Genomic DNA, 27718 nt, shown 5'->3' with positions numbered 1-27718 from the left:
GAGCAACACTCACACTGCTCTCAAGAGGAACCAACAGAATATGGGTGAGAATGGAGCGGTGTAACCACGCATGTAAGTGGGGTCTCTGCAACAGAGAAGAGGACAGGAAGCGCAAGGATCACTGGCTAGAGAGTCCCAGATGACTGTAAGACCTTCAGAGAGTCACATAATCTGGTGGTGTCAGTTCCTTATCCGAAAATTGTGGAAGTCTGGCTAGGTTCTTCAATGACTCGCCAGTTTCAAAATTCTATGATTTCCATTTGGCACTCTACCTCTTTTTTCTTTTCATGTCTGTTCTCCTTAAAGCAATATAAAATTGCCTCCTTATTCCTTCTCCTTCCTCTCCAGTGAGCTCCACCACTGCAGCCACAGCAATCCTGCTTAAAATATAAGTCAGGCCATGTCATTTTGCTGCTCAAAATTTCAATATCTTGGCCTTTAACTTTGAATAAGATTCAAAGTCTTCATCAGGACCTATAAGATTTGACACGCTCTGACCCCTGGCAAACTTTCTGACCTCACTTCCTATCATTTTTCTCACTCACCACATTCCCACCACGTGGGCCTCTTTCTGTGAGCTTCCAGTGTCCTGTGGGCTGTCACCCCAGGACCTCTGCATTTGTCACTCCCTCCACGTGGAGGGATTCTGCTCAAATCTCTCTTTGAGAGAAGCCTTCCCTGATAGCCTATCCCAAGCAGCAGCTCCCACCATCCTCTACACCCTCTTAGCCCTTCACTTTTCCTCTTGACACTTATCATTACTGATGATATTATTTATGTAATATAATGTGATACAGACTTATTTCACAGACTCTCCCACAGATATACCTCATGAGGGCGGAGACACTATTGATCTTGTTTACTGCTAAAACCCCAGCATCCAGAAATTACCTGGGCATAAACAGACATCAAATACACATTTTGGAAACTGTGTGAATAAGTGCTTAAACAAGCAAAATAATCAATGTAGAGTCAGAAATTAGGTTCTTTACTTTCTTGAACATCACCCAAACAGTTTTCAGGGGTAATGTTAAAAAAAAAAAAAAAGGCCTGACAAATTTGTTTGTAGCCTTTCTCATCACCCACTCCTCTAATTTTCATTGTTGTAATTCTTTCTGAATTTGCCAGCTTTTTATTTCATTTTATTTTGGAAAGAAATGTATGTACCAGTTGTTTGCATCATTTTGACACAGCATTGTAAATAAAATGTTATAAACGCCAAAGAACGCTGAAGAAATATCTGTTTTTGTTTGTGGACGTTTGGTTGCACCAGAAAAAAATCTAAAATTAGTTGCCTTCTCCCATGTTGGTTGGGACTTTGAACCATAGAAGGTGCCCTCTATCTGACGCAATCTAATGGAGCTGCTCTCAAGGTCAACCACTTCAGGTGACTCCAGACTGAGTCGCAAGGGCTCGTCCGGCTCTGTAAGTGTGGGAACTACTGCCATCTGCTGGATGACTGTTGATACTTCCTCCTGAGCAGCTGTGGCTGGCATGCCCCTGCACTCCCTAAGGATCCTGTGATCAACATCAGTGATGGGAGATACATTCCACTGGGCCAAAATGGAGACACAATCACATTTTAAAATATGGTAGATGCTGGGATTAGAGTTCAAAAGCAGCACTAATCTATGTTCTAAGACAGGCCTCTTGGCTCCTCATATCAGTGGGAATAAGAAGCTGGTACCACCAAAAATTTCCAATTGGGGCTCAGATTTAGAGATAGATCCTTACAGCAGCTGACTTATTTTTCCTTTTGAAAAAACATTTTTATCTCAAAAGGTATATATGAATATTATGTGTTAATAAGAGATTAGTGCAACATAGGCTATTGGTTAAATTTGTGAAATAGCAGATAAGAGACTTGGGTTCAGAATACCATCCACTTGCTGATCAGCTGTGCATGTCAGTCTATCCAACTAGAAACTAATGGAGAAATAATGGTGCTGGCCCACTCTGCTTCAAAAAGATACCAGAAGGGAAGATGAACTTGGACAACCAAAAGACAAGTAAGGTTACCATCAAGAGGCCCAGCTTTGTTTACACCAGTGAAGCAATCCAAATGTCCATCAATGAGGAATTAGTTCAATAAATGTGGCACACCTTTATAATGGAATACATTGTTATTAAATTTTGTGATGTATACCTACATTCATTTGCATTTATATATGTATAAAGTATTTTGTTGTACAGAAAAAGTGTATGTACTATGATTTCATCATTGGATTAAAAAAAATTCTGGAAGATATTATCTGCCAAAATATTAATAGTGGCTATACCTAGATGCTGAGTTTAGAGATAATTTTCATTTTGACCTTTTAATATTTTTTATGTTGCCTGAATTTTTTTCACTAACAATAAGCATTATAGAGCACAATATTCTTTTCTATTTGGCGATAACACAAATACTATTTCTGTTTTGCAATTACTGCAATGGTTTCTCTAACGTCATCTCCTTCGACTTTTCTGCCCCAGAACTCCCTTCTCCAGCTACACTGACCTTCTTGTTCTTCTCTGAACACGCTTGAGGAATCGAATCTTTAGACAAAAGGAATCTCACTAATTTTAGGAATCAAGTGGCAGATCCTGGACCAAAACCCAGTTTGGCGATTACCTTTTCAGACTTGATTCCTAAATTCCTCTGTCCTTCTCCACCCTGCCCTGTGCCCTGGGAAGCTGACCTGCCTGGCTTCCACTTGTGTGCTGCCCATTAGGAAGCACCAACAAGAAAGAAGAGAGAGGAAAAAGAGTCAGAGTGTTCCCCTAAATTTTACCCTATGAGGTTATCATGGGACACATGTCTGAAGGTCATAGCTCTTGCTGGATGGCCCTCCCTTTCCATCTGGATACTGGTCCCAATTAGCACATGACTAAGCTGTTGCAAACAGTCCCCTCATTAAACTTGTTTCAAATCATCCAAGTACTTATGCCTCTATTTCGTGCCAGGAGCCTGATGACTACTGAGATCCCTAGAAAAGTCATCTTTTCTCCTGCAGTTGCTTCTCATTTATATTTGTACATAAGTGTTTCGTATTCGGTTGCATTATCAGATGAGATCCATCAAACTCAGCCAGCATGCACCGCGTCCCTCCTATGTGTCTGTGTTAAGCTGATTTCACAGACCTCCTCTCTTTGTGCTGAACAACAACTGTGGCCCTACTCCCATCAAAGAACTGAAACGATTCAAGAATTTAGATGCTAAGAAATGATCCCAATGAAGAACTATATAAAAGCAAGAAATGCTCCAAAGGAAAGAACAGAAAAGATTAGCCATGACATTATGATGAATGTGAAGGAAAGAGAACAAAATGGATAATTAAGTAAATAAAAGGAAACAAAGTGAAAATGGGTAAGATAATTGTGTGTGGATATGTATGTGGATATCACCTCAATATATTAATGTTTAAAAATCCATTGAGTGGAATAAACAGTATATAGTTGCACATTCTGAGGCCATGAAATATCAGCCGACCGACTGAGCAGATGCTCCAGTTGAAATCAGAGCATCGTGAGTTCCTTTCCTTTGAAAATTTATATTTCCTTATCATTTGCTTTAGTCTCTCTTCTCTACCTAGCCAGAGGGGGTAAAATATTGGTGTCCTGATTATTAGTAAATGTATGATAATGTAAGATGCACAAAGGCCTCAGAAGAGCAATTAATAGGTATTTAAACAGCAAAGTGAATCATTCCCTGTAGAGCCAATAAAGTTGTGCAAATGAATGTTGCTCAGATTTACATGCATGGAGTCATCAGCAAATCAATAGAGCGATTGCCATGGAGGACACCCTGAATGTAAAATTACATCTGAAGTTATATTCACGCTCAAATGCAAACTGAAAATGCAGGTTTGTCTAGGCTATGAGTAAAACAAATTATTTATCGCTCCTACTGTTCCCTTTTTCATCTCACGTTCTAAAGATTTACAAATCCATGAAGCTCACTGACTCATTGGCCTTTCCCATGCTCCTGGAATAATGCCTAGCAAAGGAACCTCTTCCTCAGTTTGCTTTTTGTCTTTCTCCAATGTCACCAGCACAAACCTGTTCCAAAGCAGTTGGATTGCAGGCTCTCCAGGTCTCTTCTTTAAGAACATGTATGTGAAAATTAAATCACAGACAGCTCTATCAAGGGAACAAGTTCATTAGTATGTGCTAATTGATTCCTTAAAAGCTTGACAAAATTGCTATCTAAAAGGGGATTTACCAAATTTCCTGACAAATTTCTTGAAAATTTAAGGAAAAATGCCCAAACAGTATAGTACAGAGGTCAGCAAACTGTGGCCCGTGGGCCAAATCCAGCCTGCTGTAACAATGGTTTTTACATTTTTAGGGGCTGGGGAAAAAGTTTAAGAATAATAATTTCTTGTGACACATAAAACTTAAATTCAAATCTCAGTGTGCATAAATAGTTTTATTGGAATACAGCCATGTATAATTATTTACTGTATGACTGCTTTCCTGCTATGACAACAAAGTTGGCCTAAAAATCCTAAAATATTTACTATCTTGCCCTTTATAGAAAAATTTGCTGACCATTGTCTCAGTAAATGGTTATTTTTGGGAAGACTAAAAGCAAACAAAGCTAGCAGCATGATACTGTAACTCTAGAGCTTTTCTTCTTTTTTTTTTTTTTCCTTTTGCCTGAGTCTAGAATGTGCTTAAGTGGTAAGAGACATGAAATTTTATTGTTATCAGAGCTTGTGACTTGCAGTTTTAATTCTCTGACATCTGATCACTGCAGTCTTTTAAATCTAAGCAGCCAACTGAAGGAGTTCAGGAAATGTCCCCCCAACACAAGCCGCTTTGCTGTGGCTGATTGCTTCACACTGAGGGCACCCGGGGAGCAGCACATTCAGGGAGGGGCTTTCTCTGAACTTCTCTTATCTGCCTGAAGACTGATCCTCCAAAAGGAATGCAACTGCCAACGGATCCCCTCCCCGGAATCTCATTACCAGGGAAGATTAACTCCTATCTCAGGAGGGGAGACTGGGGGTTAACGCCACACCGAGACAGACTGTCATGGGCTATCTGTCACCTATTCTTTGGAGGTTCCATGCATCATTTACTCTCTCCTGTGTTCTCTGCGTCCTTCCTCCCCTGTCTATAAGCTTCTAGATCCCACTGGGTTTGGGGGTATTCACTTTTTTTCCTTGGATGCCCCCTGTGCATATACAAAATGTGTGTACCTTTTCTCCTCTTAATCTGCCTGCTGTCCGTTTATTTCATACACTCAGTTATTAACCCCTCTGTGGGTAAAGGGAAAGTCTTCCCTCCCCGACACAACCAAGTCCCATCCTAATGATTCCGGTGGACCTCACTCAGAGGGCTTCCTCCATTCTTCCACTTCCCAGAGAGGAAACTTTTTGTTCTTGTACTTCTGTTTCTGAATTCTGGCATTCTGATGTCTTCCCATTCCCAGAACAGAGCTCAGAGCCTGGAGTCTAATGAAAAAGCTACAGAACCCCCAGTGGCTGCCCCTGTCAGCTACACCATCCTTTAGTAACTAGGCATGGAGGGAACATCTATTAACATCTCCTTCATCTTGAAGAGTGGTCAGATACCTTAACCTCTGTTCCACTTGTGTTTTCTTAAAATAACCCTGAGAAGTAGAAAATATCACCTGTCTCAGGATTACTGTACCCATCTTAGAGATGAGGAAGCTGAGACCCAGAGATACTAAGTGTCTTTTCTGAGGAGGTCCCACAGCAAGGTAGTAAGAGGACAGTTTTCCTGGACCTCAGACCCAGACTTGCCGGCCAGATTCTGCTCTGTTCAAAGGTACAGATGCTTGGGGGCAGTGAATAGTGTAAAGGTTGGCAAGAACTTTCATAGGCATGGATTGAAAGAGGCTGCAGCTGTAAGGAAGCTGCTAGAGAGTGCTAATAAGTCACAGGGACTTTGGAGCACTTCCTGATTGCTTTGTAGCCATCCCCAGAACATGCCACTACCTTCTGTCTCCATTGCTTCCTCTCTGCTCACTGCTGCAGCCTATTCAGGGGCATTGCCGCCAAAGAAGAGTCCTCACTTGCGAACAGGGATAAGGGAAATCTATTCTGTGGCTCTATGACAACATGTACCCCGGGATCCTCGCATGCTGTAACTGGTCTCCAGGCAGATGGGCAATGAAAAACACAGCGGCCCAAATCTCAGAGCAAAACTGGGCAAAAGCCAGACTCACACACAGACACTTATGGGACAACAGGTTTACACAACCAACGACAGCTGTACTAAGCAAGCAGGAAGGTGTAGAGAAGAAAAGAGGGGTGAGATGAGAGGGTGCTGGGGAACAGCATGGAATCAGATTTATTGTAGAAATCTGATTTGAGCCAGAGGGAGTTTGTCTCAGCTCAGTGGAAGAGTATGTTTCTGAAACTGTGGAAGAAAACAGTTTATGGAGAGAACAGTATGGCAAAAATCAAACCAAAACAAAACATCTCTCATACTTCTCTATGTAATCCCTGAGGATCTGAGACCATAATTAGCCTTATTAGGAAAAGGAGGAAAAGGTAGTCTAGAAATGTTAATGCTTATTATAATGATCAAGTAAGAACCCAGGGGTAAAATGAGGGCTTGGTTTGAAAGAGAGTTAGAAAATGTCTCTCCTTTCACCAACCCGCTATCAGCAAACTGTACTCTTTTTAGCATTAGAATCTCATCCTTACAGCCTTGAATTTAAATTCACTGGGTTTGCTCTCTTCCTTCCTTCTTTCCTTCCTCCCTCTTTTACTCTATTTGTTTACCTTTTCCTTATTTATACCACATTGCAATTCTGGGAGTTCACTTTTGCCTGCGAACCTTGCCAATGGGAAATTCACTTTTGGCCTATGTGGGTTTCTAGAACAACTGTTTCCTTTCATCTTGTCTTTGAAGTTCCCATACAGTAGCAGTAGGGAGTTATCCAATCACCAAAGTAGTCACAGACTCTTAGCTTGTTAAGTCACATTCACTCATTTACATACTCAATAAATACTTATTGAGCGCAGACCTTGCATAGGGTGTTGAGAACACAACATTTGATGGCTGGGAGTGGTGGCTCACGCCTGTAATCCCAGCACTTTGGGAGGCGGAGGCAGGAGGATCACCTGAGGTCAGGAGCTCCAGACCACCCTGGCCAACATGGTGAAACCTCATCTCTACTAAAAATCATAATAAAAAAATTAGCAGGGCATGGTGGCAGGTGCTTGTAATCCCAGCTACTCGGGAGGCTGAGGCAGGAGAAGCGCTTGAACCTGGGGGGCGGAGGTTGCAGTGAACTGAGGTTGCAGTGAACTGAGATCGCACGACTGCACTCCAGCCTGGGTGACAGAGCGAGACTCTGTCTCAAAAAAAAAAAAGAGAACACAACGTTGAACAAGTTATTCCAGCTCCAATATGGACCTTATCCTAGAGAGGAGATACAGACAGACAATATGATGCATAATATAGATTCAGGCAGTGAAAGTGCTATGGAGAAAATAAAGCAGGGCATTAGGCTGAGACCACAGAAGCCTGGGGTCGAGCACAGTGGCTCAGGACTGTAATCCCAGCACTTTGGGAGCCAAGGCAGGCAGATCACTTGAGCCCAAGAATTCGAGACCAGCCTGGGCAACATGGTGAAACCTTGTCTCTACAAAAAATACAAAAATTAGTCAGGCGTGATGGTATGTGCCTATAGTCCCAGCTACTCAGGAGGCTGAGGTGGGAGGATCACTTGAGCCCGGGAGGTGGAGGTTGCAGTGAACTGAGATCATGGCACTGCACTCCAAGACCCTGTCTCAAGAAAACCAGAAGCCTATCTGAGAAAGTGACATTTGAGCTAGGATCTGAAAGGAGAAAGGGAGGAGGCTGGTGGCATGATCATAGAAAGATCTGAGGGAAGAGAGTTCAAAGCCCAGGAAACAGCAGGTGCTAAAGTTCTGAAGCAGAAAAGAGCAAAACGGCTTTTGCTAGGAACAGAAACAGTACCATCTACTAGGAACTGATCTAAGGACACCAATTCACTTCAGTGAAGAATGTATTTGTTCTTTCTCTGCTCATATCATGAGGATAGTATCCTAGAAATTAAGTGGTTTTGGTGGTTAAGACCAAGTTCTATTCCTAGGGGAAGTTATATAACCCTAGAGTTGATTACACATGTAACTTATTTTTAATTAAATTCCCGTTTTTGGAAAAAAGAAGAAAGGCAAGTGACTTTTTTACTTCTGCCATTTCTATTATTTACCATTCATGTCCTTTTTACTGGCTTTCATTCTACTTGATGAAAGAATGTACTCATTAAGCTTCAAGCTCAGTAGTTGGTGGCCAGTGGAGGCAGTGAATACATTTTTTACAAAGCCCCCAGTTCTGCACTCCAACTGCCTGATTTACCAGGTCAAAAGGAAACTATAATGCTGCTGGTGTTTCTTTCTTGCAGGGAAAAAAAAAATACAGCAGGATGGGGATAAAGAATGAGAGATCATGATTTGGGTCTTCTTTGAATTTCCTCTTGGAAACAAAACAGGTGCTGATTTGTGTGGAACGCCTCCCAGGAGAAGACAGAAGTACATGTAGATGCACCATTATTATTCAAGGTCACCAAAATGATCCTAGCTCTCATTAGAGGACCTAGACACTAAAGTCATTTTTTTTTCTTCCTGTTCTACTTATAATGTTGTGGAGCTGGAATTAGATGTGGACACTGCACGAACTTCTCAACATTGCAGTGGAACCACCAACACCATCCTCCTTTCTCACTTCAGCTAAGTGCCAGTTAATGAAAACACTGGGCCTGGCTTTCATTAACTACCAGCACAAGAGCAACTAAGATCTTCCAATTGCCCCATTAAGCAATTAAGTTGCTAATAGTGTCTGGCATTAATAGGCCCAGTGGGAAGTGAAAGCTTCCCCAGTTAGTAGGGCTGAAGTGTTATCTTTTCTTACAAAAGAGTTTAGCCCTAAGATAAACAGGCCACAGAGGACCCCAGGGAGTGGCCTGTGTCCTTGGTGGGATCTCAAGGTTCCCACTGGGCACTTAGCCTCAAGGATCTCCTTGAACATTGTGTTGTGAAGGTGGCTGTTCAAGGAGCAAAGTGGGCATTAAATCAAGCCAATATTCATGGAGACAGAGAGGAGTGAGAGGGACGAGAATGGGGTAAGCCCGACATGTGGAAATTCTGACCTCACAAGTGGAGAGTAGTGTTCAAAACATTTCTGTGTCTTGGTTTGGGTCTAACTAATCTAAGGGGCTGCCAGCTGTAAAATACTAGGGCTATACCGAAATATACGGGTTGACTTTCAGTGCACATATATGTTTTACCCACATTTCTGTATGTGCAATATGCCTTACGAGTTTTAAAACCAAAAGCAAATGCAACAAGAACAAAAATAGACAAATGGGACTTAAACTAAAAAGTTTCTGCACAGCCAAAAAAAAAAAAAAAAAACAACAACAGAGTAAACAGACAATCTACCAAATGGGAGAAATATTTTCAAATCACGCCTCTGAAAAAGAACTAATATCCAGAATCTACAAGGAAGTCAACTCAAGCAAGAAACAACCCCATTAAAAAGTGGGCAAAGGACAATGAAACCACCTTTGCAAAAATTATGACAGAGGAAATTATGACAGTGAAAGAGATCAGACTTAACTGACTCCATCTTGCTTTTAACCTTTAAGCTGTCTTTATTCATTCCTGGGCGTAGGCCGAACTAACCTTGGGAAGGAATTCAGTTTATGGTTTGACTCTGAAACAAAACTAACAGCCTTTTCCCATAAAGATCCCCTTCTTGACTGGGGACCAGTCAGCCTTTGTAGGACTAACAAACTAGCTACAGGATTAGAAATTACGGTTTAGGAATCATGCAGCCTCTGGCTCTAAGAGTCTGAGCCTCCCCAAATTGCTCCTGGGGATAACATCACTATTGTAATACCTAAAATCAGTGCTTGAGATATTTTGCAGACCTTTTACTGGATGGATAGGCTGACACCACCCAGACCGGTAATCTGGCTCAACCAGTTCTGTGATCCCATCCAGGAACAGAAGACAGCAAGAAAACCTCACTTCGACCCCCTAGGAGTCCATCTCCAACCTGACCAATCAGCACTCCACATTTCCCAAGCCCCTGCCCAACAAATTATCTTTAAAAATTCTGATCCCCGAATGCTCAGGGAGACTGATTGAGCAGTAATAAAATCTGATCTCCTGCATAGCTGGCTTTGTGTGAACGATTCTTTCTCCATTGCAATTCCCCTGTCTTGATAAATAGGCTCTGTCTAGGCAGCGGGTAAGGTGAACTGTTGGGTGGTTACAGCATGAACAGACATTTCTCAAAAAATGATATACAAGTGGCCAAAAACTCAAGAAAAAATAGTCAGCATCACTAATCATCAGAGAAATGCAAATTAAAACCACAATGAGATGTCTTACACCAATCAGAATGACTAGTCAAAAAAACCCTACTCTGAATAAATTTGTGAGGCCAGTATGGTATTTCTACACGCTGGGCTTATCCCATCCTCAGTCCTCCCACTTCCCACCATCTACATGAATGTTTACTTGATTTGATGCCAACTTTGCTACCAGATGTCGGCATGACTGTGGAGAAAAGGGTAGGCTTATACGCTGTTCATGGGAATGCAAATTAGTACAACCTCTGTGGAAAACACTATGGAGACTTCTCAAAGAACTAAAAATATAACTACCACTGAGCCAGCAATCCCACTACTGGGCATCTACCCAAAAGAAAAGAAATCATTATATGAAAAAGACTCCTGCACTCGCATGTTTATGAAGCACTATTCACAATAGCAAAGTCACAGAATCAACCTAAGTATCTATCAAAAGTTGACTGAATAAAGAAAATGTGGTATATATACACTACAGAATATTATGCAGCCATAACAAAGAACAAACCCACGTCTTTTAAGCAACATGAATGAAACTGGAGGTCATTATCCTAAGTGAAATAACTCACAAACAGAAAATCAAATACTGCATGCTCTCACTTACAAGTGGGAACTAACCAATTGGTACATGGGGACATAAAGATGGAAATGAGAGACAATGGGGACTCCAAAAGGCAGCGGGGAGGTTGGGAGGGAGGTGGGGGCTGAAAAATTACTTCTTAGGTACAATGGTCACTATTTGGGTGATGGGTACACTAGAAGCCACATACATCTCACTCAGGGAAGCAGCTTCACAGTCAGCCAAACCCACGTTCAAATCCTGTCTTTACAATGATCAACCTTGCCAAAAATACATTACCTTTTAAAAACTCATTTTTTTTAATCTGTAAAAAGGGGACACTATTCCTCCAGCACAGTGTTTCTGTGAGGATTAAATGGGTTTTGTAGGTAAAGTGCCCAGCACATTGCCTGGCTCATAGTACATCTTCCCAATGGTAGCTCTGATACTTCAAATGTATTAATTTGAAGTATTTTGTATTATTTGAAATTTATTAATTTGAAGTAATTTGTTAATTTGTTAAATTAAAATTTAACAGTTTTAATTTAATTCAGATAGTGCTATTTGATAATTAGGTAATTTTATGTATGGGAAAATCATGTTTTGGAAGCAAAATAATAGTCTAAACCAATACCAAAATAAAAAATATAAATGTATCCTAGAATAAAGGGTTTTCCAAAATGTCAGAAGTGATCAAGGAGAAAAACCACGATTGAAATACTAATTATAGCACATGCTTTTGTATTCATGAAACAGGTCATCTAATAAATTTTGTTATTCTGATCTGAGTAACTGTGTATACCTAGAAGTGTAAAATTATGTCTATTTAAGAATGTTTCATAACTGAGAATTTTCATTGACTTAGCATGGTTTTGTCCACCTTCCCTACCCACAATTACTTTGAAATTTTAAAATTTTACTTCACATAACAGGCCAATTATAATAAAATCTCACAGATCTGTAAAACACTTTCATATAACTTATCCACTCAATCCAGAAAAGCAGGATCCAGCAATGGGGAAATTATAATCAGAAACTCTAAGACCAGATCAGTGTTTCCGTTAAAAAAGAAGCAGTATGAGGCCGGGCGTCATGGCTCATGCCTGTAATCCCAGCACTTTGGGAGGCCAAGGAGGGTGGATCACAAGGTCAGGAGTTCGAGACCATCCTGGCCAAAGAGACCAGCCTGGCCAACGTGGTGAAACCCCGTCTCTACTAAAAATACAAAAATTAGCCAGGCATGGTGGTGGGCACCTGCAATACCAGCTACTCGGAAGGCCGAGGCAGGAGAATTGCTTGAACCTGGGAGGCGGAGGTTGCAGTGAGCCGAGATCGCGCCATTGCACTCCAACCTGGGTGACAGAGTGAGTCTCTGAGTCAAGAAAAAAAAAAAAAGGAGCAGTATGAGAGGTGCCCCAACCCACCCATCCTTCCCTGACTCCAGTCTCTATGCGCACATCTAAATCAGCATGTGCTTGTTATATCTCATCTTTATTCTACATTCTTGACTCTACGGAGAAGGGAAAGCTAAGGGACAGACTGAAAGAGGTGAGCCTGGAGCAGCTCACGAAATGGGAGCAGGAGTTCCATGGGGAGGGTGGATGGGGACACAGCACCAAGTGGCTGCTCACTTTGTAGTGCAAAAAGACGAACTCAGTGTTTCAAAGTACTGTCGGCCCCTAGCTCCTGCTATTCCATAAAGTTCAGCCAAAGAGTAATCAAACAAGGCCTTCCTTTAAATCGAATCATCAACATTTCTTCTAGGAAGAATGCCGTCAGCCTTTGGAATGTGTCTGGGAAGTTTAAGCTTCTAAATTCTAAAGAAGAAGAGTGAAAACATTTTTTTTTCCTGGGTGATCAATAGTACTTATAGGGTGCACGAGCATGTGCATATGTGTGTGCGTGTGTGTGTGTGTATGTGTGTGTGCGCATGTGTGTGTTTTGGAGTATAGCCTCCCTATATAACCCAACAATTTAATTTGACAAAAGGCGACCCGACATTCAAGGTTAGGGTAGAGGTTGTTTTCAAAGGAGCCAAAATTCCTCAGATTTGGGGAACCTCCTGAATCTCTACCCCTGAACACAGCAGTGGCCTTGGATGTCAGCTGTGTGGGTGCTTTGTGAGGAGAGGAGATTATTCAGCTCTGCTAACCAATAAAAACAGGGCTTCATGTTGGCTGGTTAAGCCAGTTACCAGTGCTGCTTCCTTTCTGACAGCACATTTTCTGGGTAAAGAGGACCCAAAGGAGCAGCCGGGCTCTACCGGAGGAATGTATTGGCAATACTGAAAAGATCAGAATCTTCAAACAAAAAAGTGCCAACATTTTCATTCTCAACTCTCCCTGCTACACAGGGTTCTGAGTTTACAGAAATATACCCTCCACTCCCCAAATACAAAAAACGTCTAAAATGGGCTGGACTTGACAAAGTGTTCTAAGCTTTTGCCAATCCAAGAATGGTTCTTGGCATTGTGGGGGATTTTGTTAAAACCCACACCAAAAACAGAATCTGACTTTAACAAAACCCCCAGGTGATTTGATGAACACTGGCCCAAGTGTTCCTAGGCACTATGAGAACATACACCATTGGCTACAGCCCCAGCTCCATGTCAGCGCTCAACTTCTTTGATACTCCTCGACCATCATTCAGAGGAGTTGATGTTGTTTGAATATCCTTTATTTTCAGGCGAACACGAACGCTGAAGCCTCCAGGGGCCTTAGTTTTTTCTCCTATGGTTCTAAGATTAACTCATTTTCTCAAAATATGAAAAGGAGGGGGAAGGCTGCATATCATTTTGCTATGTGGTCTGTTGTGTGACTGTGAAAGAAAACTGACCTCAAACTTCCCAAGGATGATGCAAAAATAAATCCTCTGCTGACCTCCAGGACATAGAAACAGCCCGTGTCCCTGTTGACAGCCTCTAACTTCCAAAGGGCTGGGAAAACCACAGGAGGAAAGCCTGGGGTTAGCCCTTTTCCAGGCTGTCCTTCTGCACGGCATCCAGGTCAAGTGAGTCTTCATGAGGCAAGCCCAGATATGCAGCTCCCTTGGTCCCTCAGAAGGACCCTGGTACTCACAGAGGGTCCGGATGATGTCACTGGGCCAGCTGCGGGGGCTGGGGCCATGGGAATTCATTGCCCTCACGGCAAACTGGTAGTTGGTATCTGGATCGAGGCCCTTGATAACCATGGAGTCCATCTGGATCCGCTCATGGATTGAGGTCCACTTCTTGTCGAAATCTGGCCTTTATTGATTAGAAAAACAGAAGAAGCAGTAGTTCAGAAATACCAGAGGGAAGGGAAGCTAGCTGGCTATGTAAACTAATAGCATTTGAACTCTGGAAGCAATACTTGTAAAAGTAAGTTAACATTTCCTATCTGAAAGTAATCCTGATTTGAAATCACAAGTCATCATTTGCAAGTCCCTGCCGATAAAAACAAGTAGATTATTTTTAGGGTCAGTTGTAAACACTACTTAAAGACAATCCGTTTTTCCTTGCAAGGCCCTCACTATGATGAAAAGATCTTCACATAGGAATTCGCTTTCAAGGACTCTGCCTTCCAGATGTTCACAAACAATCCTCCCTTTGGCAGTCCCCATCCCCAGAGGTCAGAAGAACACAGATTCCGTCTATTCACAATCTGTTCACAAAATAAATATAAGTTTTATAGGGTGACTAATTGCATGAATTGTCATGGGAAAACCCAAGAAGAATCTGTTCACGGACATTCTTAGTCTTAATTATACAGCTACGCCAATGTGCTGAATTTTTACATGTCCTTTGGAGGGCCCTTCAGAGAAGGCAGACCTTTGCTTAGAGCTCCCATCTGGGAGGTAATACACAGAAGGCGGGAGGATGAGCTCTGGAGTTCAAATCCTGACTCTCCTACTTACTAGCTGCTACTTAATTCCTTTAAGACTCAGTTTTCCCATCTGTAAAATGAGAATAATAAAAGGATCTACCTAAGAGGACTGCCATAAAGATTAAATAAGATATATATCTCCAGCCTAGTACCTGGCATCAAATTGTAAACACTCAGCAGGTACCAGACATTATTCAAGGGACTTCTTCACAGAACTAGTAACTTATAGCTGCCTGCTTACTCTATACCTGCATGATCCAATATGGTACCACTACCCTATGTGGTAGTCAGTCATCACTTCAAATGTGTCTGAATTGAGATGTGCTATTGTGTAAAATGTACACTGGATTTTAAAGAAAAATAAAAAAGAATGTGAAATATCTCAATAGTTTTTATATGGGTTATATGTTCAAACGAGTATATTTTGGATACAGTGGGTTAAAATATATTATTGAAATTAATTTCATTTCTTTCTTCTTGCCCTTTAAATGCCACTCTTAGAAAACGTAAACTTTCAAATAGGCTGGCGTTGTATTTCTACTGGATAGCACTGCTCTATGTGGACATCCTAGCTGGAGGGGAGAAAAAAAGAACATTCCAGGTAATAAGAACTACAAGATAAAAGTTGGAAATAATTGTGCATGGCCTGCAGACAGTGTGAATGGCCTAAGGGGAGGAGAGGCTTTGTGTTAATGGCTAATAACGTCAAGGGCTTTCCATCTACCAAGCACCATTCTAATACCTTAACTCATTTACTTCTCAAAAATGCCCTATGCAGTAGGTACTAATATTAAACACTCCACCTTTTTTTTTTCTTTGACAGAGAAGGGAACTAAGGCACTGAACAGGTAAGTAACTTGCCCAAGGTCACATAGCTGATAAATGGTGAGGCCCACTTGGATTGGTAGGATGAGGTTAGATTTACAAGACCCTTAATACTGGATGAAAAGGGGGAGTGACGGTGGGCGGCAGACGATTCCCCATCCCTTTGCTTGCTCCCTGGCCACCTCTCAGGTGTTCTGTTGTTAAACACCTCTGCTCACAGATATTTAGAGGAAGGCAGGAAACAAAAAAGTTCTGTTTGTCTTTGAGGAGCAACTTACCAGGCAAGGAAATAGAGAGTCATTTTGCTAAAAGAAGATGCCGGGGTGAACAGCGGATTTCCTTAATGTGAGCTCGCCCAGTTTTTCATTAGCAGGAATGATTGAAAGCCAGATGGAGTCCTTATGCCCAATAAATGATGCTTCCTCAAGCTCACCAAGCTGGGGGTAGTGTGTTAACGTGTTTGGAAAAGCACAGTTCACAGGGTATGCCCATGGAGGAAGCAGGGCTGGTTTCTCTTTCCTGATATTCTTTTCCCAAAGATGGAATTCTCATGTAAACTAACTTTATCATCGAAGAGAAAACCTCGGTGAGTGGAAGGAAACACATTTACAAACTCAAATTAGAACAAAATCACTTCGCAGAGGAAAACCACAGGGGATACCTAAAAGTAAAGTCAGAAAAGATGTGATCTTTAGATAAAACTCTCTGCTATCGTTTGCTAAGCTTCCCTTGTGATATTTATAGAGGAAATAACCCATATCTATTCTCACAGTCTGCTGTTATTTACCGAGGACTACCTGCAAAGACCTGCAACAATCTTTATGTAAAAACTACAGCAAAACAAAAAGATGATTTTGTACATGTTGTCCATTTAATGCAGAAAAGAAAAACTCTTATTTCCAGCAAACAAGAGATTAAATCATTAGCATTTATTTTTATTCTATAGAGTGAGAGAGACAAGCTCATGCAGATTGAATGCCTGTTCAAAACCTTTAACATTTTGCCTCTGATTTTGTCATGAGTTTTTTATTTGAGTGTTTTTAGAGTCTCTTCAGGTACAAAAGTACAAAGGTGAGGCTGAGAAAGAGATGACCAGGCAAAAGTATTGTCTTAAATCATCCTCCAAAACACCTGTATCTTTTTTTTGACTGAAGAAAATCACTTTATCCTAACTACAAAGTTGTTGGTCAGATCACCATAGCAACGCTATCTTGGCAATGTATTCAACAATGAAAAGGCCAGAGGGTGAGAAGTTGACTGAGAATGGGCTGCCACCCCACAGGAACAGAAGAACATCTGGCCATCTGGTGGGGTGGCTCAAGCCTGTAATCCCAGCACTTTGGAAGGCCGAGGTGGGAGGATAGCTTGAGCCCAGGGGTTCAAGACCAGCCTGGGCAACATAGTGAGACCTCGTCTCACTATGTTTAATAAAAAAAAAATTAGCCAGCATGGTTGTGCATGCCTATAATCTCAGCTACTAAGGAGGCTGAGGTGGGTGGATTGCTTGAGCCCAGTAGTTCAAGACCAGCCTGGGCAACATAGTAAGACCTTGTCTCTGCAAAAAACTTAAAAAAAAAAAAAAAAGTCTGGGGTGGGAGGATTGCTTGAGCTTGGGAGGTTGAGGCTGCTGCGAGCTATGATTGCACCAATGTACTCCAGCCTAGTGACAAAATGAGACCCTGTCTCAAAAACAACAACAACAACAAAAACATGGGCAGCCACCAGCAGGGCATACACTGCAAGCATTTTGCCAAGTAGTGAGATAGGGTTGGGCCAGGCACCCTATACCTCAGGAGATCAGTGGCTCAGCTTTGGAAGGTTGCTGGGCAGGTGAATTCAGGTGGGGAATAGAGAATGCGGCCAGCAGTGGGTAATCAAAACCCAATTCATCAATTCACTTAATCAGGGCTCACTAACTGGTTCATTTTGCCACTTACCATTGGCATTGTTAGAATCCAGCCTGGCTATCAGGGCTGGGTGAAATCTTAGAGATCATTTGGTCCAAGTGTCTGAGGACTCTCAGAAATTGTATGCAGGATTTTATACATGAACACATTTCATTTTTCTAAGTAAAGGGTCCTTCACTTTTATTAGATTCTCAAAGATAAAATAATGATCCCAAAAGCTTTGAGAGTCACTGATCTGATCCAGTCTCTCATTCTACCTACATGGTCACTGAAGGAAAATAATTTACCCAAAGTCACAGAACCACTGGGTGGTATACCTTTCTGTTTTAATTCTTTCTTGTGGTGTTTTGACTACCTTGCCCATTGCCAATCTCAATCTTAGTGAACAATCACTTTTCTTGATACTATCAAACCCCATAGGTGGCTGCCATGGGCTAGTCCATTGGCAAATGATGAATGATTATCAACCAGGCATCCATCACAAAAGTTATATTCCAGGAGGCTCCACGGAAGTGTAAGCACAGTTCCATTTTCAGGGAGTTTATAACCTAATAAGCTGGGGATAAAATACATCTGAGCATCAGTGCAGAAACAGCACCTCTAAGGACCAGTAGGAAGCCAGCGCAAAATAGCACATTTCAAGAACTGTATTTGAATAGGTCACTGTGAACTAGAATCCTGAGGAAAGTCTAAGTCCCAGAATCCATATCCTAGGAAGACATGGTTCTCTATGTTGATCACTGGGCAGAAGTTGCTCTAGACCCATCTCCGCTTGATGCAGGATCCAAAGAGTGGGTACTGCTGGCTTAGGTGGAGGAAACTTAGTGAGGATAGGGTGGTGTCTTTACATAAGAGACAGACAAATAAAGATGGTGTGGAAAGCTTCTGTGTTTTCCATGTTGGACTAAGAGGCCCAGTGGTTTCTTACAGAGAAGCCAATGGCAGGAAAACCTTTTGATGTCAATTAGGAATGACAGACAATGAAGCTGACTGCCTTGGAAGGGATGAACTGGGCCTCGTTGACTATATTAAAGCAAAACTGGGTGGTCCTCAATCAGGGACCATAATGTAACAAGTGACTTCCTGATCAGGGTGGGAGCTACTTAATTCAGTATCTCTGACCTTGACTCACAGTAAGTAAACATTTTTCCATAGTAAATATACCTATGCACATAAATATGTATATTATATATGAATACAAAGCTGAAAAAAGTTTCAAGAAAAAATACTTAGCTTTACTACCTTATTCATGTTTCTCCTTTCTTTCTCTCCTTTTCCTTTCTTTTCTACTTCTCCTTTTAAAAAACAAAATGCTGGTAAAAGACCATTAAATTGATCTTGCCACTCACTGAAGTGCTGTGGCCCATAATTTGAAACACACTGCACTGAACTTTTCCCCCTAGAATACCTTAGATGGCATTTCCAATTCTACAATTTCAAAAATAAAGCAGGTGTCATTAGCCCCTGAGAGGAATCTGTTTCTTGAACTTGAATTCAACACCAACACATGGCAAATGAAGCCTGTTCAACCTCAAATATGCTCTGGATTCATCACATATCAGAGCTGTGTTTTTGAATGATCCACGGTAAGATATACACTGGACATTGTGACCCAGTAAACACCACACACACATACATACACCTGAAACAAGTTTCACAAACCGATTCTCCTTTTTACTATGCGTGAGAGCCTGTGGTATTCTCTTTTCTATTCTATTTCACCTCTCAGTTTGAGAACTCCTGTTCCAGAAAGACAGAGCTGAGATGAAGAGTGAAGCTAAAGCATGTCATGGACGTTAACTAGGAAATGGCTAAAACTGGTTAAATCCTGCTAGGAAAATACTTTTGAGAGTGGAATTTGTTGGAGCAGCCAACTGTCCTCTAGGGGATACAACAGAACATCCAGAATAGCCTTGACCATAGAGGCCACTCTACTGGCCTTAGAGGGAGGGGACCAGAAGCCTAATTACAGCACAGACAGACACCTGTGGCCTCCTTCTTTCCACATCAAACCTACCAACCCACAATGGGATGCTTTCTGGAGGACGCTGGGTTACTTGATGGCTCCCTCCCTAAGTATTTTCTCTCACATTATTCCTTCTAAACATCATCTCATAAACAGAATTAAAAATACTTTCCTCCAGACAATCCCATGCCTTGAATCTGATTCTACTATCACACTGATTAGATCACCTTCCAGTATAATTTTAGACTTCTGTCTTTCCTCCTGGGCTGGGAGCTCATTAAGCATGGTGACTTTGTCTTCTTCATCTACGTGTTCCTTGAGATGTCTGCACGATCTTTCAAAGACGGGAATGCTACCAGTCTCTTTCCTGCTTACAACTTTCCATAGCTCCCTATTCCCTTCAGGATATAGATGGGCACCTTTATAAGGCCTTTTTTTGGTGTGACCCTCACCGACCCATCTCTCACCCCACAGAGCTCCAGGCTTTCTAAGCAATTCCAGGAACATTTTCTTCTTGCCTCCAAGCCACTGCTTAAGTGGCTTCCTCAGTCTAAGCTTTTCATGTTGCTTCCTCCCTCCCCTTTTGCCTGGTAATCTCTGATGTGTCCTTCTTTGCTCCCATAAGAAGCCTTCTTTCCTTCAAAACTAGGTCAGATCAAGCTTATGTTTCTCCAGGTTCCTGATCGCCATGCCTGCCTACAACACTCACTACTCCTCTGAACTCTGTCCATCTGCATTCCCCAGTAGACTGTCCAAGGGTGGAGTCTACAGCTTATTTATTCATCCCTAAATCTCTTGCATGTTTTTCACATGAGATACTCCATACATACATGTTTGTATGAACATATGCTCATAGGAGGTATCCAATAAAGGGTGATTGAGCTGAATTAAAATATCTTCAGAATTCAACTTAGAAATAGCATGATGCCTTAAATCAGGGTTGGCAAATTTCAGCCAGCTGCCAGTCTTAGTAAATAAAGTTTTACTGGAACACAACGACACCCATTTAGGTACTGTTTAACCTCACCCATTTAGGTACTGTTTATGGCTGCTTTCCTACCACAGTGGCAGAGTTGAGCAGTTGAGACAGAGTTCATACAGCTGGCAAAGCACAGAATATTTACTATCTGATCCTGTGAGAAAAAGTTTAGCAACCCCTGATCTAAGACAACAGCATGGTTTAACTTGGCTTGTGCCACTTTGACAGTCCAATGAAGCCTATGAACGCCTTCTCGGAATGATGTTTTTAAAGGCATCAAATATATAGGTTCACAAAGGAAATCAATTATATTGAAAAGGATCATCAAAATAATAAAAATCATGAAATAATATACTTTATTAATACATTAAATAAAAAACCTAGCAATGGATTCAGTAACTATGCTAATTTCAAAGTAGTGATAAACATAACTGGTATTTTGAGATATGTGCAACCATTGTAACCAGATAAGAAAATACTTGTGATTCTAATGTTGACAGGGTCACAAGAATTGTTAATACCATTGTGATTTGTTGTCTACATTCATTTTTGAAGAAAATGCTAAATTTCCATTGGTAAAACTAGGGATATAATTTTTTTTCCAATCCAAGTCCAGGGACCCCTTGAATTATATTTCCTGAATTCTATCCAGGAAACCCTTGGGGATCTATGGACTGCCAGTTAAACACCCTGCTCTAAGAGAAGAGATGTGATCCCATACATTACCCAGGGCAAACACAACAGGGGTGAGAGGAAACCTCATGCTCAGAAGAGCCTCCGAATCAGTCAATTTTACATACTGGTTTTATGCAGGATTTGCTCTACACTAAATGAATTGCAGAGAAAGGTCCAAAACCACTCAGTAGTCAAAGATGGAAAAAAAAAAGATGTAGTATTTGACCTTCAGCTTTCAGCCTTCTTTCTTTATTTACAAATTGGTTTAACCTAACCAAATGACAAACACATGGATACAATGGTGTTATGATAAACTCACCTGGCAATTTGTCCCAGGTGGGGCAATAGGAGAGCACACTTCATTTACAGTTTACAAATGGCTCCCAAAGCTGTTTCATAATTCAATGTATGTCAATTGCCATCAGTCTAAGCAGGAATTATATCAGGAATGTTTAGGGTAGGAGGAATTGAAGCTTTACGGGATCAATTTGCCGAACTACAGGTCGGACTTCTTTAAATCCTTTAGAGTAGCCCTTCCATTAGGGCCTGAGCAAAGGGACTTGACAGCTTCTGGAATTTCTAGGACCAGGTGCTAGTCTAGTAGGTGGCTCTGAGATTTTCAGTTTCAAAACTAAAGGTAAGGAAAAGAATTCTTTGTGAAGCAGCACTTGTCGCCTGTCATATGAAATCCCAGCTGACATCCAAGCAAGCTCATTCTTGCTTATATCTAATTCTATTGCTGATGGTAATGAAAGCTCATACTTAAATAGCAAAACTTCTAACACTTTTTTTTGAAAAGAAAGGGAGATTAGGGAGGGTTGTTTTTTCCCATTTCCTCCCAAAATTAACTGTTTAAGAATAATTCTTTAAATATTTTCAATTCTAACTTTTGGGGGCTAGCAAGCCAACACCAGACTACATCACTCTTAAATATTGCAGTCATATGTCCAAGTTTTGCTATATATTCCAGTAAAATGCTCTGAAGAACGGTGGCAGTTCACTTAGTTATGATGACGAGCTCTAAGACATGAATTTGCATTCCACATGAAATAAAATCACAGTAGGAACTTTCAAGTTAGTCATATCCATTTAGGTATTATTTGAAGCTTTACCACATCTTGAGATTACTTTTATGATGAGAAAACGATAGCAATAAATAAACTTTCAGTTGGGATTGAAGTGGGGCATTGCGGGGGTCGGGGGATGCATATGTGCAGATCCTCGTTGGCTTTTGTATGGTTTTTATTTCTGTAGTGGGTGAGGTCAGATGTTGGTTACTGTTGTGGCCTCTGATATTGGTGGTAAAGGATTCATTGAATTACTTGTGGGTAATGCTTTTTACATTATTTACTCAAAAATAAGTAACCGCTAGTGTGAAAATATATTTGCATGTGGCTCAAGTTAAAAAAAAAAAAATCAAAAATCCTCCATGAGCCATTCTTCTAAGTGCTGTACAGACCTGTTCATCTCTGCAACTCTTCTGAGGTAGCCACTATTACCATCCGTATTTTACAGCAGAGGAAAGTAAGGCTTAGCAGGACTAAGCAGCTTGCTCAGGGATCCAGCTAGTTGCTGGCATCCTCTAGATCAAGCTTGTCCAACTCACTGTTTGAGGGCCACATGCGGCCTAGGACAGCTTTGAATGTGGCCCAAAATAAATTTGTAAACTTTCTTCACACACTATGAGGTGATTTTTTTTTTTTAAGTTCATCAGCTATCGTTAGTGTGTTTTACGTGTGGCCCAAGACAATTCTTCCTCTTCCAATGTGGCCCAGGGAAGCCAAAAAATTGGACACCCCTGCTCTAGATCAATCCCATGACTGCCTGTGTCCAAATGCTTACCAGCACCTATTTGACATGTGGTGTGTTCACAGTGCTATGTCCTATATTCCACACAAAGGAGCAAGGTAGACGTTGCATTCATGTTCCAAGAGGAAGACAGACCTTGAAGAAGTAATTAACTACAAGTGTGCTGAGTATTGCAAGTAAATGTTGGAGGTATAGCTAACCTAATCTGGGAGTAGAGGAACGTAGTCAGGCAGGGCTTCCTGGAGGAAGTGACACTTAAAGAGGAGTCCTGAAGGATGAACAAGAGTAAGCTAAGTAAGGAGGTAGAATAGCTGTCCTGACAGGATAGCAAGCATAAAGACTTGTGGCCAGGGAGGGTGCGGTGGCTCATGCCTACAATCCCAGCAGTTTGGGAGGCTGAGGTGGGTGGATCACTTGAGGTCAGGAGTTCAAGACCAGCCTGGCTAACATGGTGAAACCCCGTGTCTACTAAAAATACAAAAAAAAAAAAAAAATTAGCTGGGCGTGGTGGCACATGCCTGTAATCCTAGCTACTCGGGAGGCTGAGGTAGGAGGATTGCTTGAACCTGGGAAGTGGAGGTTGCAGTGAGCCAAGATCACACCACTGCACTCCGGCCTAAGTGACAGAGCAAGACTAGATTCTATCTCAAAAATAAATAAATAAATAAATAAATAAATAAATAAATAAATAAATAATTTCAAAACACACTTGTAGCCAGGAAGAAGCAGGCTATGTAGGAAAGCAGAAAAGACCCATCGAGTAAGCCATGTAGGAATAGTTTGCATTGATTGAGCACTTACTAAGGGCTAGGCGCTGTTCTAGGCATTTTATGTGTGTCAACTCATGTAATTTCATAATAACCCCATGAAGCAAGTAAATTATTATCCCCATTCTGTTGTCTGAGGCCAGAGAAGTTAAATAACCCACCAAAGATCACACAGCTTAGAAGTGGTAGAGACAAGGTTTGCACTAGGGAGTCCAGCCCAGAGCCTGTGTGTTACGCAATCCATCGATACTGCCTCCCCTACGTCTTGATACTAGACGAGCAGAGTCACAGGATTTTAGATGTCACGTATCCAGCATGCCTTAATTTGCAGAGAAAGAAACTGAGGACTGGAATCAAGCAACTTCACCAGGCTTAGAGGCTGGTTCAGAACCATCTCTCCTGATTCCACATTTGGACACACTTAAACCTCAAGAGATGATACTATGAATCAGGGTATAAGCCTCAATTCTGAATGAGAAATGCCTTTAACCTTCACAGCTTTTGACCTTGACCATGAGTCAAATCACATCATCTCTTAGAACAGTTCAAAGAAAATCCATCCTCTGTTCAGCTTCCATTCTGAATCCCAGACTTGATCTTCATTTCAGTAACAGCCTTTGCAGGGTCACTTCCTGTGAGGAAACTAATTAAGTTCCTTTGTTACTTACAGAATATGGAAGTCTATGATGAGATGGAAGGAGAGATGACTTTTGACAAAAATATCAATTTGCGAGTAATACTTTAAAAAACCCACCCAGGTTGCATGACCTTGAAAGTCTCAAATGAAACCAATATGTAGGTACTGCAGTCCACCTAGAAGCAGCCCCGTGTGAAGATGAATTCTTCAAGTCTTATTATGGAAGGCATCTGCCAGGGACTAGAGGAATATTTAGGCAGAAAAGTCAGAAAGGAAGAAGATGGGAAGCTTTGCTCCTTCTCACTTATTAATATAAATATCTTACGTTGAGATTTAGAGAACGTTTCTTGACCCGAGTCCCTAAAACATACACAGACATATTCTGAACTTTCACATGTACCCAAAATAAGCCAATAGTAGACTTTGTGTGTGTGTGTTTGAGAGAGTCTCACTCTGTCGCCCAGACTGGAGCGCAGTGGCATGATCTAGGTTCACTGCAAACTCCACCTCCTGGGTTCAAGTAATTCTTGTGCCTCAACCTCCCAAGTAGCTGGGATTACAGGTGTGTGCCACCACACCCGGCTAATTTTTGTATTTTTAGCAGAGATAGGGTTTCACCATGTTGGCAAGGCTGGTCTCAAACTCCTGGCCTCAAGTTATCTGCCTCTTTGGGACTGGGATTACTAGGATTACAGGCGTGAGCCACTGCGCGCGGCCAATGGTGGACTTTTAACTAAAAACAGCCATTGCTGAGCTTTAGCCTGCCCCTTCCAGAAGGTGACAATGCAAAGCTCTGAAGCAGTTTTAGCCAATAAGGTGACACCTTTAGAAAAACTCTAGGTAAGTTAAATGAAAACTATTTTTCATGTTTATCCAACTCGATAGACAGCATACGACAGGCATGGCACCCCGATTGGAACTTCAGTGATGAGGAACGTTTTTCCAGGCTTTTGGTTTTCATTGCCACCATACTATATATTATTTGCTTATGAGAAAGGCACTTACCCTGGGGAAATTCTTAGGCAGAAGGGGGAAGGTTTCTCAGATATTTATAGCCAAGATATTTCAAAACATAGGTAGCTATATTTATGCTTGGTTCTTATTTTAATAAACACTAAGAATTGCTGCCCCCAAAGAAATTTTTAGTGTCACTTTAGAAAAGAAATATTCTCCCTCACCTCAAACACATGGCTTTTGTGTTTTAAAAAAGCAAGTAAAAGTGTTTAAAACACTGCAAAATATGTTACAGCCTGAAGGCTTACTCAGAACTTGCCTCTTCAGATCTTTTCTACACTGCTTAAAAAATAAAAATCTATGGCTATAAAGAAAGCTAACAAATAGCCTCCAGACCAACTTTGGGGGGGATCATGAAGATTCCTGCCACCTAAAAGCTTTTATTCTGCCTGGTCCTGAGACCAAGCTCTTCTCTGATGCAGTTACTGAGAGCGCCTTCAGAGTGCTCACACTAGAGGTGTCCTCTATTTTGGGGGTAATAGAAGTTGGATGAAGAACAAAAATTTGCTTGGTCCTAAGCCCCTGACTCAAGACATCATCATATTATGCATAACGTCTACTTGAAATATCATCAAAACTAGCAAATAAGTAGTCAGCATACCCTGGTCTCACAATTTTTCAGGTTAATCTTTTTTTTTTTTTTTTTTTTTTGAGACGGAGTCTTGCTCTGTCGCCCAGGCTGGAGTGCAGTGGCGCGATCTGGGCTCACTGCAAGCTCCGCCTCCCGGGTTCACACAATTCTTCTGCCTCAGCCTCCCGAGTAGCTGGGACTACAGGTGCCCGCCACCTCGCCCGGCCAACTTTTTTGAATTTTTTAGTAGAGACGGGGTTTCATCGTGTTAGCCAGGCTGGTCTTGATCTCCTGACCTCGTGATCCACCCACCTCGGCCTCCCAAAGTGCTGGGATTACAGGCATGAGCCACCACGCCCGGCCAGGTTAATCTTTTTTTAACCAGAGGTCTCACTTTGTTGCCTGAGCTGGAATACAGTGGCACAATTATAGCTCATTGTAGCCTAGAACTCTTGGGCTCAAGTGGTCTTCCTGCCTCAGCCTCCTGAGTAGCTGGGATTTCAAATGTGAGCTACCATTCCTGGCTTAGCTAAATATTAAAAAAAAAAAAAAAAAAAAATTCACTTAACCCGTGAGGCAGAGGTTGCAGTGAGCCAAGATCGTGCCACTACACTCCAGCCTGGGTGACAGAGCAAGACTCAATATCAAAAAAAAAAAAAAAAGAAAATTTGTTAGACTATCTCCTAACAATGCCTTTGAAATCTTTATCTCCATTGAATAGCAAATAAGAAGAGTAAATGATGCAGAAGTGCCCATGAGGACAGAGAGAGAACTGGAACCTTACCTTCCAGTGACAGAATGTAGACAAGAACTTCACATTAAGATATCTGAATCTGAGGATCACTTCTGGGGATAAACCAATTTCTACAATTTCCTAGCCTTGGCCTGCCAGAGTCCTGCCCCTTAGATGTATAATAATAAGGACCTTTTGGCTCACACAGAAACCTGTCACGTGTGCTTCTGTACACAGGAAGTAGAAAAAGGAATTCACTATTAAACATTAAATGGACCTCTCTGGGGAAAATAAAATAACTGCAGACAACCCCCTCCCCCACCCAAAGCCTTTCATCCTTTCTTACTGTCTTAGTCTCTTTGGGCTGTTATAATGAATACCATAAACTAGGTAACTTATAAACAACAAAAATTGATTGCTCACAGTTCTGGAGGCCAGGAAGTCCAAGATCAAAGTGCCAGCAGATTCAGTGTGTGATGAGGGTCCATTGCCTGGTGAGGGTCCATTGCCTGGTGAGGGTCTGCCTTCTTTTCTTTATGAGACAGGGTCTCACTGTGATGCCCAGGCTAGAGTGTAGTGACATGATCATGGCTCACTGCAGCCTTGATCTCCCAAGCTCAAGTGATCCTCCTGCCTCAGCCACCTGAGCAGCTGGAACTACAGTGTGCAATATCACACCTAGCTAATTTTTTTATGTTGCCCAGGCTGAGGGTCTCCTTTCTGGTTCATAGATGGCATCTTATCACTGTGTTCTTACATGGTGAAAGGGGTGAGAGACCTCCTGGGCTTTTTTTATAATGGCACTAATCTTATTCCTGAGGGCTCTGCCCTCATGACCTAACCACGTTCCAAAGACCTCATCCTAATACCATCGCCTTGGGTGTTCGAATTTAACGTATGAGTTTTGTGGAGGACATAAACATTGAGACCATACGTAGCACACACAAACTGCAGTTTCAGCATTAGAGCCCAGGAAAGCTCTCTCTGAACATACATTCACTCACCTATAATGGGATAGGCTCTGAGATGTTTACAAATGGATTGATTTTG

General features: G+C 41.6%; 1 protein-coding gene across 2 annotated transcripts in view, besides 1 other annotated feature; it reads right to left on the bottom strand.

The window, feature by feature from the left end:
* Window positions 1-27718, bottom strand: part of EGFLAM (EGF like, fibronectin type III and laminin G domains) — a 206922-nt gene that overhangs the window by 81019 nt on the left and 98185 nt on the right. For both annotated transcript variants that reach the window (NM_001205301.2, NM_152403.4), the window contains exon 6: window positions 14000-14166. In NM_001205301.2, the coding sequence (NP_001192230.1) occupies window positions 14000-14166 (167 nt within the window). The remainder of the gene's footprint in view (window positions 1-13999; window positions 14167-27718) is intronic.
* Window positions 1281-1575: an enhancer, noted in NCBI's record as "tiled region #7458; HepG2 Activating DNase unmatched - State 12:CtcfO, and K562 Activating DNase unmatched - State 12:CtcfO". NCBI's record gives its function as "activates a minimal TATA promoter and a strong SV40 promoter by Sharpr-MPRA in HepG2 and K562 cells {active_cell/tissue: HepG2 | K562}" and the evidence as "EXISTENCE:reporter gene assay evidence [ECO:0000049][PMID:27701403]".

Source organism: Homo sapiens, chromosome 5, assembly GCF_000001405.40.
Source record: "Homo sapiens chromosome 5, GRCh38.p14 Primary Assembly".
Lineage (NCBI taxonomy): Eukaryota > Metazoa > Chordata > Mammalia > Primates > Hominidae > Homo > Homo sapiens.
Note: the sequence above shows the minus strand (reverse complement) of the source record. Positions and strands in the feature narration are given on the sequence as shown.